The sequence below is a fragment of the Homo sapiens genome, chromosome 4 (assembly GCF_000001405.40).
Source record: "Homo sapiens chromosome 4, GRCh38.p14 Primary Assembly".
Classification (NCBI taxonomy): Eukaryota; Metazoa; Chordata; class Mammalia; order Primates; family Hominidae; genus Homo; species Homo sapiens.
Window position 1 is genome coordinate 14,968,167 of NC_000004.12, and position 17,613 is coordinate 14,985,779.

The following is a 17,613-nucleotide window of genomic DNA, read 5'->3' on the forward strand; positions in this document are numbered from 1 at the left end:
AACCCCTCCTGACGCAATCGTTGCATCAGAAGATGAGTTCACATTAACTTGGCTGCTCTCAGCAGAAGGATGAGGGAAGTCATAATTCCCAGAGGAAGGGACTGTTATTCCCAGAAGAAAAACATGCTAGCCAGATACAAAAGAGCTTAAAATATAAAGGCACTCAGTATCCTTTTTAATAAATTAGATAATTAAAAGATAAATTGGTATAATCAATTAATTGGAAGAGGAATTTAGCAATATCTATCAAGACTTTATATAATCTTATGTCCACTAATTCCACTTTTGGTCCTGTATCATAAAACTAACATACATACACAAAAAGTATTAATTTATTAACTTGTTCATCAAATATTTAGTGCATAGTGTGTGCTTACTATTCGAACAGCTGGAATAATAGTAATAAAAAAGATACAATTTTTCTATATTTACATTTGAGTGGAGAACAGAAATTACAAATAAGTGACTGGCACATAACAAACTTTTGTTACTAAGCATTCTGTCCAATTTCAATGTCTAGATGTCATAAACTTACAATATAAATGTATCTTCTGTTTATGATCAGGAGTTTTCAATATTTCAAATCTCCATCTATGATATGTACACTGGCAATTGCAAATGGTGTCATGTTATGTCTAATTTTTACAGAATTGTACACTTTACAAAAAGTTTTCAGTTTTCACATCTACTATCTCATTTCTCTCATGCATCAACACTCTAAATTAGATAAAGGCAGTATTTTTATTGGTTTATCATTGAATCACTTCTCCAGAGCCAAGCAAAATGCAAGGTAAGCACCAAATAAGAATTTGTTAAGGAATCAAAATTAAGAGGCATGGCTAAAACACAGAGGTGCTTAGGTAACATAGCAAGTTATATCTTTGCAGCTGCCATTCCTTCTAGGTTTAAGGACTTTGAAATTGGTTTGGTTTTTAAAAGAAATAATTAAGTATTTTGTTCATGGTATATTCACAAAACAAGAATTGCTCTTGTAAAACTTGGAACAAATAGCAACTGGAATTCAACGTATGGAGCATAGAAAGAAGTTTTGGTAACACCCAGATTTGAGCCTCAGGAGAAATCTAAGACTCATGTTTTAATTTTAATCACATATGTGTGACCTGGACAAGTTATTCTGCCTCTACAAAATGAAGTGATTGTTTCAATTGAATAATTTCTTCTGGCTACAAAATGTGATGATATGTCTACTTTTTCAGCCATGCCTGTTCCATAACTGTGGACCTCAATGGTTGTGTTTTAGTTGACTCTGAAGACGAGGAAATGCACTGTAAAACAAAGCCATTTCAGGCAGCTATGTGTGCAAATGAGTGTTTTAGGCTCCACAAATGAGGTTGCAAACCTAATTATGACAAAGAACAAGCATTAGTTCTGTTACTTAGTTAAATGAGTCAACAGAAGAGAGTTTAAGCCCATTCTCTTTCTTAGAGAAGTCTCATCAAATGCCATGACTTTGCAGATACCTAGGTAAATGCATTGAATGGGAACTACTGAAAAAGAAAGTCTGCTCTTAGGCAATCACTTTGGGCTGAAAATCTAATGACAGAAGTAGTCCTTAGACAGGGTATAACATGATTAGTTATATCCTTCTCAACTACAAAGAATAACAAGCACACATAGTCCCTCACCTAATTTTCATGGCAGGTTCCTGTGGTGGGATATAAATGGGTTTTGGAATGCCATGAACTCAGGTTGAAAATTCTAGCCTTTGCCCTGAATGACATTGGCTAAGCTATAAAACTCCCTTAATCTCAAATTTCTAATCTACAAAATTAGGATAATAATATTTACATTCTGAGATTTAAGTCACAAGTGTATTTAAGCACCTGGTTGAGTCCTGTGACACCAAATAGATGATGAATAAACATTGACATATCACAGTTTGTTTAACCATTCATCTATTAAAAGACATCTGGGTTGTTTCCAGTTCTGCCTATTATAAATAAAACTTCTTTGAATATTTTTGTACAAGTTTCTGTAAAAATAAGCTTTCATTTCCCTGAATAAATCCCTCAAAGTGGAATTGCTGAATGGTATGATAGCTGCATATTTAGTTTATAAAGAAATTGCCAACCTCTTTTCAAGAGTGACTGTGCCACTTTACATACCACCAGCAACACAAATGAGATCCACTCTCTCCACATTCTCAACAGTATTTGGTATTGTCATAATTTTTATTTGTGCCATTCTGATAGGTATGTAGTGATAACTCATCATGGCTTTAATTTTTATTTTGCTATTTGCTAATCAGGTTGTTTGTTTTGAGAGTTCTTTATGTATTTTATATGCTACCCCTTTGTCAGGCAAGTGGTTTCCAAATATTGGGTCTCCAGCTTGTATCTTGTCTTCTCATTCCCTTAGCAGTGTCATTCTGAAGGCAAAAGTTTTTAATTTTGGTGAAGTCCAATTTATTCATTTTCTTCTTTTATGAATCTTACTAATAATGTTATATCTAAGAACCCTTCACGCAAGACTAGGTCATAGAGCTTCTCTCCTATGTTCTCTTCTAAAAGATTACAGTTTTATGTTTTATGTTTAAATACATAATTCATTTTACATTTTTGTATAACATGTGAAGTTTAAGTTGAGGTTCATTTTTATTGCCTATAAATTACAATTGCTTTAGCACCATTTGTTGAAAAAGCTATAATTCCTCCTATGAATTGCTTTTCCATCTTTGTCAAAAATTGCCGAGACCATACACTGGGGAAAGGACAATCTCTTCAGTAAATGGTGCTAGGGAAATTAAATACCCATATGCAGAAGAATGAAACTAGACCCCCATTTTGAACTAAATGTAAGACCCAATATAATAAAACTATTAAAATAAAACAGGGAAATGCTTCAGAAAATTGGTCTGGGAAGATATTTTATGAATAAAACCTGAAAAGCACAGGCAACAAAAACAAAAATAGACAGATGGGATGAAATCAAACTAAAAACCTGCCCACCAAAGGAAATAATCAGCAGAGTGAAAAGACAATCTACAGAATGAGATAAAATATTTGCAAACTATTTATCCTACAAGGGATTAATATTCAGAATATACAAGGAACTCAAACATCTCAACTACAAAAAAAATTTAATTAAAAAATTTAAAAATAATAAAAATCATTTGGGCATATTTATGTAGTCCCTTTGTTTTCATTCTCTATTCTGTCCTTTTGATTTATATGTCTATCCTTCTGCCAATAACATGCAGTCTTGGTTACTATAGCTACATAAGTCTTGAACTTGGGCAGAGTGACTCCTCACACTACATTCTTTTTCACAATTGTTTTAGCTGTTCTAGTTTCCTTGCCTTTCCATACTACTGTTAGAATAATCTTGTCTGCATGCATAAAAAATATAGCTGGAATTTTGATGAGAATCTTATTAAATCTGTTTATCAGTTTGGGGAGAATTGACATTTTTATTATGTTGAGTCTTCCAATCCATAAACATAGTACACCTCTTCATTTATTTAGAAATTCTTTGATTTCTTTCATCAGTATTTTGTAGTTTTCAGCTTGCAATTCCTGTACATATTTTTTATATTTACACCTCAGTATTTAATTTTTGGAGGAATTGTAAATGGTATCATACTTTTAATTTTGATGTCTGTGTTTTCATTGCTGGCATATAGAAATGCAATTAATTTTTGCATGTTTATCTGGTATCCGGTGATCTTTCTGAACTTATGAGTTCTGGGAGAGTTATTAAAATACATTCTTTCAGATTTTCTATGTAGACAACCATGTCTTCTACAAATAGTTAAAGTAGTATTTCTTCCTTTTTGATGTGTGTGTCTTTCTTTTCTTGCCTTAATTGCGACAACTAGAAAGAACTTCAGCATTACGTAGAATAAGAATTATGAAAGCTGACATCATGTCTTTTTCTCAATTTAAGGGGAAAGCATACAGTAATTCATCACTAAGTATAATGCTTCTCAATTTAAGGGGAAAGCATTCAGTAATTCATCACTAAGTATAATGCTAAGCTGTAGATATTTTATATTTTTTTACTCAAGCTGAGAAAGTTATCCTGTATTTCTATTTTTTATGATAGCTTTATAATAAATACACGCTGAATTCTGTCAAATGTTTTTTGTTTTATTTTGTTTTCTTTGCATCAACTAACATGATTGTGTGTTTTTTTTCTTTCTTTCCTCTGGTAATATGGTGGGTTACACTGGCTGGTTCTTCAATATTGAACCAGACTTGCATCCTTGGAATAAATCTATTTTGGTCATGAAGTATAATTATTTTATTTTTATATATTATTGAATTATATTTGTTAGTTTTATAAAATATTTTTGTGTTTATATTCATGAGGGATATTTACCTATAGTTTTATTTATTCTGTACTTCTTTTGAGTTTTCATTTCAAAATACAATTAGCCTCGTAAGTTTAATTAGGAAGTAGTTCTAGTTTGTTTTCTAGAGAGACTAGACTGCACTGAATTGGTATTAGTTCTTCTTCAAATATTTGGTAGAATTCTCCAGTAAAATAATCTGGGACTGGATACTTCTTTTTTGGGAAATGTATTAGTCTATTCTCACACTGCTATAAAGAAGTACCTGAGACTGGTAATTCATGAAGAAAAGAGGTTTAATTGACTCACAATTCCATAGGCTGTACAGGACGCATGGCTTGAAGACCTAAGGAAACTTACAAGTATGGTGGAAGGCAAGGGGAAGAAACACATCTTCACATGTAGGAGCAGGAGGAAGAGAGAGCGAGAGAAGGGGGAAGTGCTACACATTTTCAAACAACCATATCTCATGAGAACTCACTATCATGAGAACAGCAAGGGGGAAATCCTCCCCTCCCCATGATCTAATAGACTCCCACCCGGTTCCTCCCCCAACATCAGGGATTACAATTCAATGAGATTTGGGTGGGGATCAAAGAGTTTTAAAGTTACAAATTCAATTTTTATGAGTTGTTGGGCTATAAAAATTATCTATTTCTTATTGAGTGTGTTGAGAGTTTGCTTTTTGAGGAATTGGTTCATTTTATTTGTTATCAAATGTTTGTATGTGGAGTTGTTCGAATATTCACTTATTATCTAATGTCTTCAGGGTTTGTGGTGATATCAGTTGTTTCATTTTTTTATATTGGTAAATCGCATCTTCTCTTTCTTTTCCTTGTCACTCTTGCTAGAAATTTGCAAGAACCAACTGTTTCTTTTTCTCTCTTTTTCTATTTTTAATTTTGTTAATTTCTACTCTTATCTTTATTATTTCCTTTCTTTTGCCTGCTTTATTTTATTTATTCTTCTTTTAGTTTCTTGAGGTGGAAGCTAAGACTATTAATTTGAAATGTGTCCTGCATTCCAATGTAAGCATTTAGTGCTATAAATTTTTCTCTCAGTACTGCTTTAGCTGCATCCCACAAATTCTGACATGTATTATTTCCATTTTCATTCAGTTCAATGTATTTTTTTATTTCCCTTGAGAGTTCTTCTTTGACTCAAAGGTTATTTAGAAGTAAATTGTCTAGTTTTTAAGTGATTGGAGGTTTTACTGTTATTTTTTAAAATAATTTCTAGTTTGATGTCACTATAGTCAGAGAACATGCTCTGGATGATTTTAATTGTTATAAGTTTGTTGTTGTTCTTTTTATGACTCAGAATATGATTTAACTTGGCATATGTTCCATAGGTGCTTGAAAAAAATTTGTATTCTGTTGTCGATTGAGTGTTCTGTAACTACTGATTATATCCTGTTGTCAATTGAGTGTTCTGTAACTACTGATTATATCCTGTTGTCGATTGAGTGTTCTGTAACTACTGATTACATCCTGTTGGTTCCAGTAGTCTTGTGATATGAATATTAGATCTTTTGATATAGTCACATAAGTCCTGAGTATCTGTTCAATTTTTAAGTTTATTTTCTATTGTTCAGATTGGATAATTTCTATTATTCTTTCTTTCAGTTTACTGATTCTTTTCTGTTCCTTCCATTCAGCTGTTGAGTCCATCCACTGAATTTTTTTATTTGTTATTGCATTTTCTGTTCTAAAATCTGAGTTTCTTTACAGCTTCTACTTCTTTGCTGAAACTACTTTTTTTCATTTGTTTCAAGCATGTTATAATTGCTCATTGAAGCATCTTTATAATAGCTGCTTTAACTTTCTTTTTCAGATAAATGGGACAGGAAAGATAATCAGTACACTGAAAGTGAGAACAATGAAAATTATGCAATCTTAACATACTGAAAAAAAGAGAGACTTGGGGACCTTTATGACTAAAATAAAAGCTCTAACATTCATGTCACTGGAATATGGGAGGGAGAAAAAAGGGAAAGCTGAAAAAATAATGGTTGAAAACTCCTCAAATATTAACATCTCTGTCATCTCAGTGTTGGCATTCGTTGTTATTATTCATTCAAGAGAGATCGTCCTGGTTCTTGGTTTGATGAATCATTTTTGACTGGAATCTGGATATTTTGGGTATTTTGTTAACAAACTCCAGATTTTATTTTAACTTTATACTTTTGTTAGCTATCTATGATATCACTCTGGCAACAGCAGAAGGGGATATTGACTCATTACTTCCAGGTAGAGACAGAAGTCCAGGTTCCTCACTTGGCCCCTGTTGATACCTGAGAACAGGGGGCTCCATGTCACTACTGAGAGGAAGTGGGGGTCTCAGCTCCCCACTAGTCCTCCCCTGATACCACCCTGGATAAAAGTGCAAATGACTCATTACTGCTCCCCACATGTCCTCCAATGTCACTACAGGGATTGTATGGCCTCATTACCACTGAACACTAGCAAAAGTCCAGACTCTTCATTAGGTATCTTCTGACGTCGGCTCAGTAGCGTGAGGGAGTAGAACCTAATTACTGCAGGGTGCAGGTGGAAGTCCAGGTTTACATGTGGTCTCCACTGACATTGTGAGTGGGGGTCTTCATTATTTCTCGGCAAGAATGAAAGTACTAGTTTTCTACTCGGCCTCCTCTAACACCATCCAGCACCATCTAACACCATCCAGGTATGTTTAGGGTGTTGGGGGGAAACACTTTGTTACAGCCTAGCAAGGGTGGAGCTCTAGGCTACCCACTTGGTCTTTGCTGGCATAGCTAATAGCCAGGCCACATTTTTTTTTTCTGTAGTATTTGGCTGGAATAGAATGGTTATTTTCTAAAGCTTCTGTGCTGCTAGACTGCCCTTTTCCTGTTTTGATTGTTTGTTTGTTTGTTTGTTTGACTACAGAGAGCAGGCTTTTGTTGGGGCTTTGTTTGCTGTTTGAACATGTTAGCATTTACAGAGTTCTAGTTTCTCCACCTCCAATTCTGGGATATACAAGGCAAAAAAGGAAACCAAAGGGCCTTACTGTCCCTTGGGTTCCAAGATGCCTAGACAGTTATCCTTCTTTTCTTTACCTTTTGGACTTTTAGATTTTTGTTTTGTATATAATATTCAGGGTTATTCATTGTCCTTAGTGGGAGGAAGAGAGGCAAATAATCTACTCTATCTTCAAGGAGGCAGAGGTTCTAAACATTTATTCTTAATAACATCTTATTACAAAAACACAATTAAATGGCATTGAATGAAACGTTAAAGTAGAATAAAGACTTCCTATAATGTTTAGTAATCTTATTATTGTTATTCCTCACAAGATTAAGATTTGTAGGTGAGTATTGGCCACATTCTTAGCAAAGGCATGTGTATGTATACTCACCTATTTAATTTAAAGGTATTTGTGGTAGGCAGATTGATAACTACGAATATGTGGTTTGATGGTGCTAAGTAAACCAGCCTTCCTCAAATAAATTCTCTCTCTGGCTAGCGTATAGCATTACCAGGCTTAAGCTTTATCCCTTTAACGGGTGTCTATAATACCTGCTGAAATATAATATCCATGGAAAATATATGGTACTACTCTAGAGCCCAATTGTGCTGCATGCTTCCAACCCTTACCAATAGAAAGGAATTAGATACTTAACAGAACCAAACAAATATGAGGACAGCTCCCCAGAACTCCCAAGTATATTCTTTTAGACACAGACACACAGTCATGTACTCATGTACATACCTCTCTGCAACACATAAGTACCTATGTATCTTAAACAACCAAATGGACAAAGAAGATCCAATTTAATCAGCACTTTAGATTATAACTAATATTTATTGACAACTGTTTTGTGTGTTGAATAGGTTACAAGTTGGGTGTAACATGTCTTCCCACTCACTTGAAGAGAGAGAATCTGATTTTCTCTTGTGTCTTTCAGTCATTCGGGAGCTAAGCTCAAAAAGTATTTATTAAGCACTTACTGTGTAACAGACACCATGTTACTAGGGATAAGCATGTATAAGTCACTTCTTTATACTTTCTCTTATTTGATGGCTCTTATACCAAAAATTTGTTTCTGTGAAATTGGCTTTCTTAATCATAAATTTGTAACACGTTTTAGAAACTGCTTTCCCATACATCCACCCATTAATTCTTAAAATAAGGTAGAAAGCTCTATTATTTCTTATATTTAACAAATTAGGGCAGTGAGGTCAAGAAATTTCAGTGTCCTTCCCACCACCACACAACTAGAACTGCAGTGATGTCGTAAATAGTAATCTTCTGGCCCTCCAAGCCCAGAACACTTTCATATCACACCTAGATGCTGCTCACTTTCTGAGAGCTGTTTCCCCCAATGATCTGACCATCTTTGGTTAAGTTCCCACCTTGTGATTGTATTCATTTTCCCAAATCGTACTACTAAACCAATAATTCCAGGAGGATGAAGCTCTTGTTATGATTCATTATACTTTTATACATCTGTCCTTGTTGGCCTTCCCTTATTATTTGTTAATTTCAAAATGGCTGCAATGGATCCAGACTCTGAAAAAGAAATAATCCTTGATGCTCTTCCTTGTTATCAATCGACCTGCCTCTGCCTCTTCCTAGCTCTGTGGTCTCAGCGAAATTAATAATATTCTCTTAGTTGAGGTTTCTTATTTTATTCTATTATTATTATTTTTATTATACTTAAAGTTCTAGGATACATGTGCAGAACGTGCAGGTTTGTTACATAGGTATACACGTGTCATGGTGGTTTGCTTCACCCATCAACCTGTCATCTACCTTAGGTATTTCTCCTAATGCTATCCCTCCCCTAGCCCCCAACCCCCCAAGAGGCCCCGGTGTGTGATATTCCTCTCCCTGTGTCCATGTGTTGAGGTTTCTTATTTGTAATATGGGTGTAATAATGCTTACCTCTCAGGGCTGTTAAAAATATAGAGAATACTCAATGGATTGTGCAAAACTCCTAGGACAGTGTTTGGCAGAGAGCAGGCCCTCCTCTCCTTCCTACTGTATAGCAAACGTCTTGAGAATAGGAACATGTCCACACGGTGTTTTGTACTTAACAGGCATTGGAAACAGATTTGCTGAATGAATGGATAAACAAATATAATACTACAAAAGGATTTTTAATTATTAGTATTACAAAATAACTTTACATACAGCAAGTTGATAATTTTGGCATTCAGTCTTGTAGTACAGTCTACAAGATATATATATATACACCATATATATATATACACATATATATACCATATATATACATATATATACACACATATATATATACACATATATATATACCAGTATATACACTACGTACACTATACATATCTTGTAGACTAAAATGGAATATATGATCATTAATAACACTAAATCTTTTCACTTTAACATGTTTGCCCTATTGTTTATTTAATCTCTGATGTCTGTACCAGCTCCCTGCTACCTGGCTTTATCCTTTCCTGTGAACTAATCATTCACTCATGCATGCAATTAACATTTGCTGACCATTTACTGTCTACCATAAACCAGGGTGCATGATTCATAAGACTCCTCTGTCTCTGCCTCCAAAAGATTTATACACTATGAAAAAAATGCATAAACAATTTATAATTAATGGAGGTGTTATGATAGAAGTACAAAAAAGTGCTATGGTTGTAAGAATGATTCATTTTGCCTAGGGAGTTTGCTTACCAGAGCTTACATGCTAGAAAGTGATTTTTCTCTTTGTAAACTAAATTGAGTTACTGGTAGTAAAAATAGCTTCCATTTGTCTAGTACTTTAAAAGTGCTTTCACATCCATTTCTTCTTTTAATCCTCATAATGAATGCTCTATAGTGTAATGGTTTTCTTTAAGATATATTTGCAAAAAAAAAAAAAAGGATGTTATGAGGCCAGCTGATATGCAACATGGAAATGCATTTGAAATCTCATAGGTAGAAGATAGAAGCCAGAACTGGAACCAGTGTTCAATTGGAACGTTATGGGAATCATTCCAAGAATTTTTGCTATTTTGCTAATAGCAAAGACCAGTTTCTTCACCTTCATCCTCAATGTCATCTCCTCATTTCAAGCCTGACCTACCATCTCGCTTTTGGGTTATTCCGACAGCCTTCTGACTGGATTCTCTGATTTGTATCTCATCTCCCTCCAAACCATTTGCCATATTGGCCACAAAATAATTTTTTAATACAAATTGGACCACATCATTCTCCCATTGAAAGCTGTTTTATGCTATAGAGCTTCACACTCCCTATAGAGTTAAATCCAAATGCTTTCGCATGTTTATAAAACTCTCCATCATCTAAACCTGTCAACTTCTTCAAACTTGTTATTGGTCACTTTCTTCAAACTATACTTACTGATTTTACTCCAAGCCACCATACCATCTCCATTTTTGTGCCTTTATAGATGCAATCTTTGGCCTAGAATGCTTTTAGCTCTCCACCATTCTGTCTGGTACAACGATGGCAGACATACAAAGTGTGGCGATTTTCTTGTTTATAACTAGACATACTTAACAACAATAGCAGAATCTTCACAACATAATTTTCATTCTTGCTTTTTTTCCCTCTTATTTTATTACTACATAAAATAGAGTTTGGGAACCATTAGTCTAGCTTTTTCTCTTAAAATCTCAGGGAAAGATTATTATGTTTTTATTGCATATTAAAGATTCATGACATTTATATTCATTTAACATAGAACTAAAATATCTTCTATTGTGAGCATATTTTGTGCTACATGCTAAGTAACTAGCTGGGGATAAGTCAAACAGGGCATATCTGAGTGTATCATGGATCTCATATTCAAATGAAATAGACAATAAAATAAATAAATGAATTAAATCTTACATATTGGTGAGCAATGCTTCTGAGGAAATAAAAGATGGCCTGAGAAGGAGGACACTTTAGAGTGGACAGCCCATGAAGGTTTCTAGGAGGAAATATATCTTAGATGAAGTTTGAAAGATGAGGAGCCAGCTGTGCAGTTGGGAGAAGAGTCAGCTGGGCTGAGGCAGCTGCAAGCACAGAAACTCTAAGTCAGAACAAAGTTTAGAGTGTTTGAAGACTGAACGACCAGGATAGTTGAGCATGGCGTGTGAGGGGTTGAGTTGATGGTAGAAGATACAGGGCCTTGTAGGCTAGGCCAAGGAAACCACTGGATGACTTTAAAAAAATAAATGATGAACTGGATGCAACACTGGCTACTGGGTAAAGAATGAATTATAAGAGAACAGGAGTGGAAACAAGGGAACGAGTTAGGAGGTTATAGTAAGGTTCTGTCAAGCGATATCGATGGATGGGACTACAGTGGTGGCAGTGGCAATAGAAAGAAACGGATGGATTTGAGATACACTTTGGAGATAAAACGAACAACATCATTTTGGAAGGTAAGGAAGACAAATATAATATGTGTCCTAGCTCTCCGGCATGAAGCCACTGGGTAGACAGTGAACCATTTACTGAGATGGAAAAGACTGAGGAAACAAAAAAAATGGAGGAAAACAGAGCTTCATTTTGCACACGTTATATTTGAGGTACCTCTCAAACATCTGAGGGAAGACATCAAGTAGGTAGTTGAATAAGCAGTTCATACCTCAGAAGGGAGTCCTGAGCTAGATATGCAAACGTGGAAGTTTTAAATATAGAGATGAGGTGAGGTAATGCATTGAATATATTAAATGAAATAATACATAGAAAGTAGCAGACACTCTATTTGGCATAGTAGCAAACATGTGCTCAAAAACAATATTAGCTGTTGGATGCTGCTTGTGGTTAGGACATTCTTCACACAGTGTAACTTAAGTTTTTTTCACTAAGGATAAATGGCTTTTATATTATTTTCTTCTCAATAGAAATATTAACAACCAGTAGGTGTTAAAAGTTACTCACGTATTTGAAAGCTTATTTAGAATGTTTTACATATTGATATGCAGAAGTAAAAAAGATGAAATGAAAAGGTTAATATTAGAAATACATGGCATATATAACAATATATTACATAATATAAAATATATATTGTATATAATAGAAATAGATATATAATTTAGTTTCAAAGGTATTTTTAACAGACCGAATGGAAAATTGGTTAAATTATTGAGATTTTAAGAGTTTTAGCATGTATATACAAATAAATATATTCCAGAATGCTGATAAATTAATTTATGACACAGATTAATTTTAATGCATGGTAGTTACAACTAAGAAAATGTGGTTTTACCTCATACATTGTCTCTGCAATTTACTAGGTGTGTGAACTTGGGCAAATTATATATAACCCCTTGGTTCCTCAATTCCCACATCTGTAAAACACCAATAATTATACCCTATCTAATCATGTTGTCATGTGAAATGACAATAATGTGTATAAAATATATAGTACAGTGCCTGAAGTAAACCATAAATGATTGGTCTGTACAGTGGTTCTCAACCCCAGATGGATATTAGAATCACCTGGGGAGTTTCTTGAATACTGATGTCCAGGCTTCACCTAAAGCAATTACATCTGAATCTCTGGAGGTGGGGCTTAAGCCAATAACAATTTTTTTAAAAATTCATCACATGGGCCAGGTTCAGTGGCTCACACCTGTAATCCCAGCGTTTTGGGAGGCCAAGGCAGGAGGACTGCTGGAGCCCAAAAGTCGAGACCAGCCTGGGCAACATGATGAGGCCTTGACTGTACAAAAAATGTTAAAAATTAGCCAGGCATGGTGGAGTGCACCTAAAGTCCCAGCTACTTGGGAGACTGAAGTAGGAGGATTGCTTGAGCCCAGGAGATCGAGGCTGCAATGAGCCTTGTTCGGGCCACTGCACTCCAGCCTGGGCAACAGAATGAGAACTTGTCACAAAACAAAACGAAAACAAAAACAAAAACAAACAAACAAAAATCTCCCTCACTTTATGATTTCAATGTATATCCAGGGTTGAGAACTACTGATCTATAATAACTATCATGTATCACATATGGGCATGTAATGTTTGTATATGTGAATTATATTAACATAATATAGTGTCATGTCTATTAAACAAGTGGTGAAAAGAAATTAAAAATCTGTCCAGTGATTTAGTTTGAAAAAAATATATAAATTGGAAGAGTAGATAAATGATAATCAGGCCTAAGATCTCTGGAGTAGGTTGCCTGTGCACAATTACCACCTCCCACATTCACTAGCTTATAACTTTGGGCAAGTTACTCGACTACTGTTTCCTTATTTATCAGCTAGGGATAATGAAGATGCCTATCTCTCATTGCATTGTTAGTAAAATGCATATAACATTGTCTGGCATATCACAAGTATTACATATTTATGTTTTGGGAAATTTGATGGAACTGTTGCTGGGAATGTAAATCAGGTTCAACCATTGTGGAAAGCAGTATGGCAATTCCTCAAAGAGCTAAAAACAGAACTACCATTAGACCCAGAAATCCCATTACTGGGTATATACCCAAAAGAATGTAAGTCGTTCTATCATAAAGGCACATGCACGTGTATGTTCACTGCAGCACTATTCACAACAACAAAGACATGGAATCAACCTAACTGCCCATCAATGGTAGACTAAAGAACATGTGGTACATATACACCATGAAATACTATGCAGCCATAAAAAATGAGATCATGTCCTTTGCAGGAACATGGATGGAGCTAGAGGCCATTATCTTTAGCAAACTAACGCAGTCAGAGAAAACCAAATGCCACATATCCTCACTTACAGGTGGGAGCTAAATGATGAGAACACATGGACACATAGAGGGGAACAACAGACCCCTGTATCTACTGGAGAGTGGAGGGTGGGAGGAGGGAAAAGATCAGGAAAAATAACTAATAGGTACTAGGCTCCATACCTCTGAAATAATCTGTACAACAAATCCCCATGACACGAGTTAACCTATGTAACAAACATGCACGTGTACTCCTGAACTTAAAAGATAAAAAAAAGAAATTTGATGAAAATAGGTATTTGGAATGAATATTACCAGTAGTTAATATTCAATCTCAGTAACATACTTTTGCATTAGAACTGAAAAACAGATGCTATACCAAAGGTCTGGGGTAACTGTGAAGAAACATTCTCTAGACCTTATATGAAAGATCAAACGGATCCTCATTTCGTATTAGTTATTTGTCATCATAGAAAATAATAATGTTAATCTTGCCAGGACCTATATAAAACACCATAGAATATGTTAGTAAAAGTATCCAGCATCCCTGAAGCCCTGAATCTCAGATACTAGATGACAAACTGCTGGGAATGTTCAAATTATGTAACCATATACAGGTCCTGTGTTGGGTGCAGGTCCTGGAAGTGGATTTTCAGTGATGAATCCCTGTCTCGACTGGCTTGATTTCCGTTACTTCTCCAGCCTTGTTCAAATGGCCTCACCTCACCCCTTTGCTCCATCTAGGCAACACCCTCTTCCCTTTCTATAACATTTCCTACTATTTGTCTCCTCCAAGGCTTGGCTATTCTTGCCGATACCTCTTTCTAGAATGTTCTTCCCATTTCCCTCTATCTCACCCCCAACCTACACATCTTTTAAGATTCAACTCAAGTACTAAGCTTTTCCAATGAAGCCTTTCCCCAATGCCCCAGGTTGAAGTAACAATTCCCTCTTTTTTACCTGCTTACACCATGAACAGAGGGCCATTTAAAACCATCACTGAGGCCGGGCGCAGTGTCTCATGCCTGTAATCCCAGCATTTTGGGAGGCCAAGGCAGGTGGATCACGAGGTCAGGAGATACAGACCATCCTGGCTAACAGGGTGAAACCCTGTCTGTACTAAAAAATACAAAAAATTAGCCGGTTGTGGTGGCAGGTGCCTGTAGTCCCAGCTACTTGGGAGGCTCAGGCAGGAGAATGGCGTGAACCCGGGAGGCGGAGCTTGCACTGAGCCCAGATGGTGCCTGGGCGACAGAGCAAGACTCCGTCTCAAAAAAAAAAAAAAATCATTGAGTCTCCTTAAAGTCCAGAGCACTAGTCTTATTCATTTATTTATTTATTTACTCATCAGCCCCTGGCACAGAGGCTTGTTTAACTGATTTCATTGACTTAGAGAATGGAAGGAAGGGAGGGAAGGGAAAAAGAAGAAACAACATCCATTTGCAGAGTGTATGACCTAGAGGAAGGACACTAACAATGAGCATGAATGTGTAAATGAAAATCTGCGGCCCCTGGTTTCAATAAGGTCAACAGAAAAACCATGCTGACACTCAGCAATCAGTTTCTCATAAAGTTAATGCAGCATCACATCTCTGCTTCATGGAGAAGCACTGTTCCGGATTTCAGTAAGAATCAGAAGTTTACTTTCAAACACTGAAATTCTCTAGATTTCCATTCTTGTGAATTAACTCCCATCTTTCAAAGATCTTCACTCAGGAGGCTGAAGTGACAGGATCACTTGAGCCTGGAAGGCAGAGGCTGCTGTGAGCTGAGATTACAGCACTGCACTCCATCCCTCCTGGGTGACAGAGGAAGACCCTGTCTCAAAAACAAACAAACAAACAAACCAAAAAATAAGAAAACCAAACACCACATATCCTCACAAAAAACAAAGATATTCTAAACTGTCACCACCTCTTGGAAGTCTTCTCCAGTTTAGTGGAGACAAAATCATGAGATCCACAACAATTTCAGCACAGTAAATTAAGAGCAGGAACTCTGGGATACTGTTACTACTATTAGCTCTGTGGTTTCAGGCAAGCTGCCTAACACCTTTGTGCCTTAGTTCACTCGCCTTTGAAATGAAGACAATAGTAATATTTATCACAGATTTGAAAAGGGTACTGAATGTTCAGAATAATGCCTTGCATATGGAGAGAACTACATAAATGCTAATAGTTTATATTATAAATTGTTAATAGTTAATATTATAAATATGACTATTAGGAGAAAGAGTTACTGAATTTTATTCCTTCCTTCCATCCTTCCCTAAACAAGAAGAATGTAGGTATCTCTGTTTTAATTTCTACAACATTGCTTATTTTATAAGTTAAGGGCCTAAACATATTGGCCATAGAGATAATATACTTTCACCATTCATATGAAAAAACAAGTCTATATTTAACTTACAAAACAGGAGATTTCTCTTCTATAAATCCTTTGTAATATTTGTTGCTTCAGAGTCTATATTAGCAATAGTGAAACTTGGCAAGATAACCAATCTTGTGTAATGGCAGAGAAATGGCAGGACAACCTTGCCTAAGATTTGTAAATTTCAAATAAGGCAGTATCTGTCAGATGTACGGGGACATTTTTTTCTGAACTAAAATGAGCTGAACACAAGTATAAAGCTTAATATCAATCTCATTTTCAGTTCCTTTGAAATCTTTTGTGAGTTGATCCTAGCTAAGAGACTAGACATCAAAAAAAAAAATCTATGTGTGGTAGAGGATTAGGTAAAACAAATGCCTTATACAAGTTGAGAATCCATCATTCTTGTTTCCATTCTCCAATGAAGAGGATAAATCTTATCCTCCTCAGTAAATGAACTACAGAAGGCTCCAAAGAGACTAAAGCCTTTAGACACTATAGGGACCCCTGATGTTATGCCTAAGGAAAAGTTACGGTATGACCTCAGCAAGGATGAAGAAATAACAAGTTAGTAAATTATCTCTGTTTACATTTACAACCAACAAACCAATCATTTCTATACACAGTTTGTACCTAAATTTCAAACATTCTTGATTATTAATAAAAGAGACTATGTTAGAATTCACAAGTAAGTTTGATATCTTGTAGTCTTACCAGAATGAAGTTCCTAAGTCCCTCAAAGAAATATGTTCTGCTAGTTCAAAGGTCTTTCTATGCCTTTTCCACAGTCTCTCTCTCTTTCCAGATTCTTCCTCCAGCCTCCAGCCACCAGCCCAGACATTTTATCTTGTTGAGCAATAGGGCAGACAACTGGATTCACAGGAAACAAGATGGAGTGAACAGAACACAGGAATGTAACTCGGAAGACAGTGGTGATTTTGCCACTTACTGTGTGTCTTCAGGAATATACTTGACATTAGCTTTCATTTACTCACAAATCAAATGTAGATAATAGTATTACCCCCCCCCCCATCTTACAAAGTTACTTTGAGGATACTAGAATTGCTTATGAAAGCAATTCAAAGCTGCAAAGTACTAAACAGAAGTCACTCTGATCCCACTCATTCCATAGCATAGGCTTTAGTACTCAGTGACCTCTGGTTTTAGACTGTCTGAGTTTAAATCCAGGCTCTTACTCATTGTGTCCTTGAATGAGTTCATGCTTCAGTTTCCTTATCTGTAAAATGGGGCTAATAATAGCATCAATTTATAA

General features: G+C 35.6%; 1 long non-coding RNA gene across 1 annotated transcript in view; it reads right to left on the bottom strand.

The window, feature by feature from the left end:
- CPEB2-DT (CPEB2 divergent transcript) overlaps positions 1-17,613 on the bottom strand; it is a 92,085-nt gene that overhangs the window by 58,206 nt on the left and 16,266 nt on the right. Inside the window, exon 7 of the long non-coding RNA NR_038857.1 lies at positions 17,055-17,210. This is a non-coding gene — a long non-coding RNA (CPEB2 divergent transcript). The remainder of the gene's footprint in view (positions 1-17,054; positions 17,211-17,613) is intronic.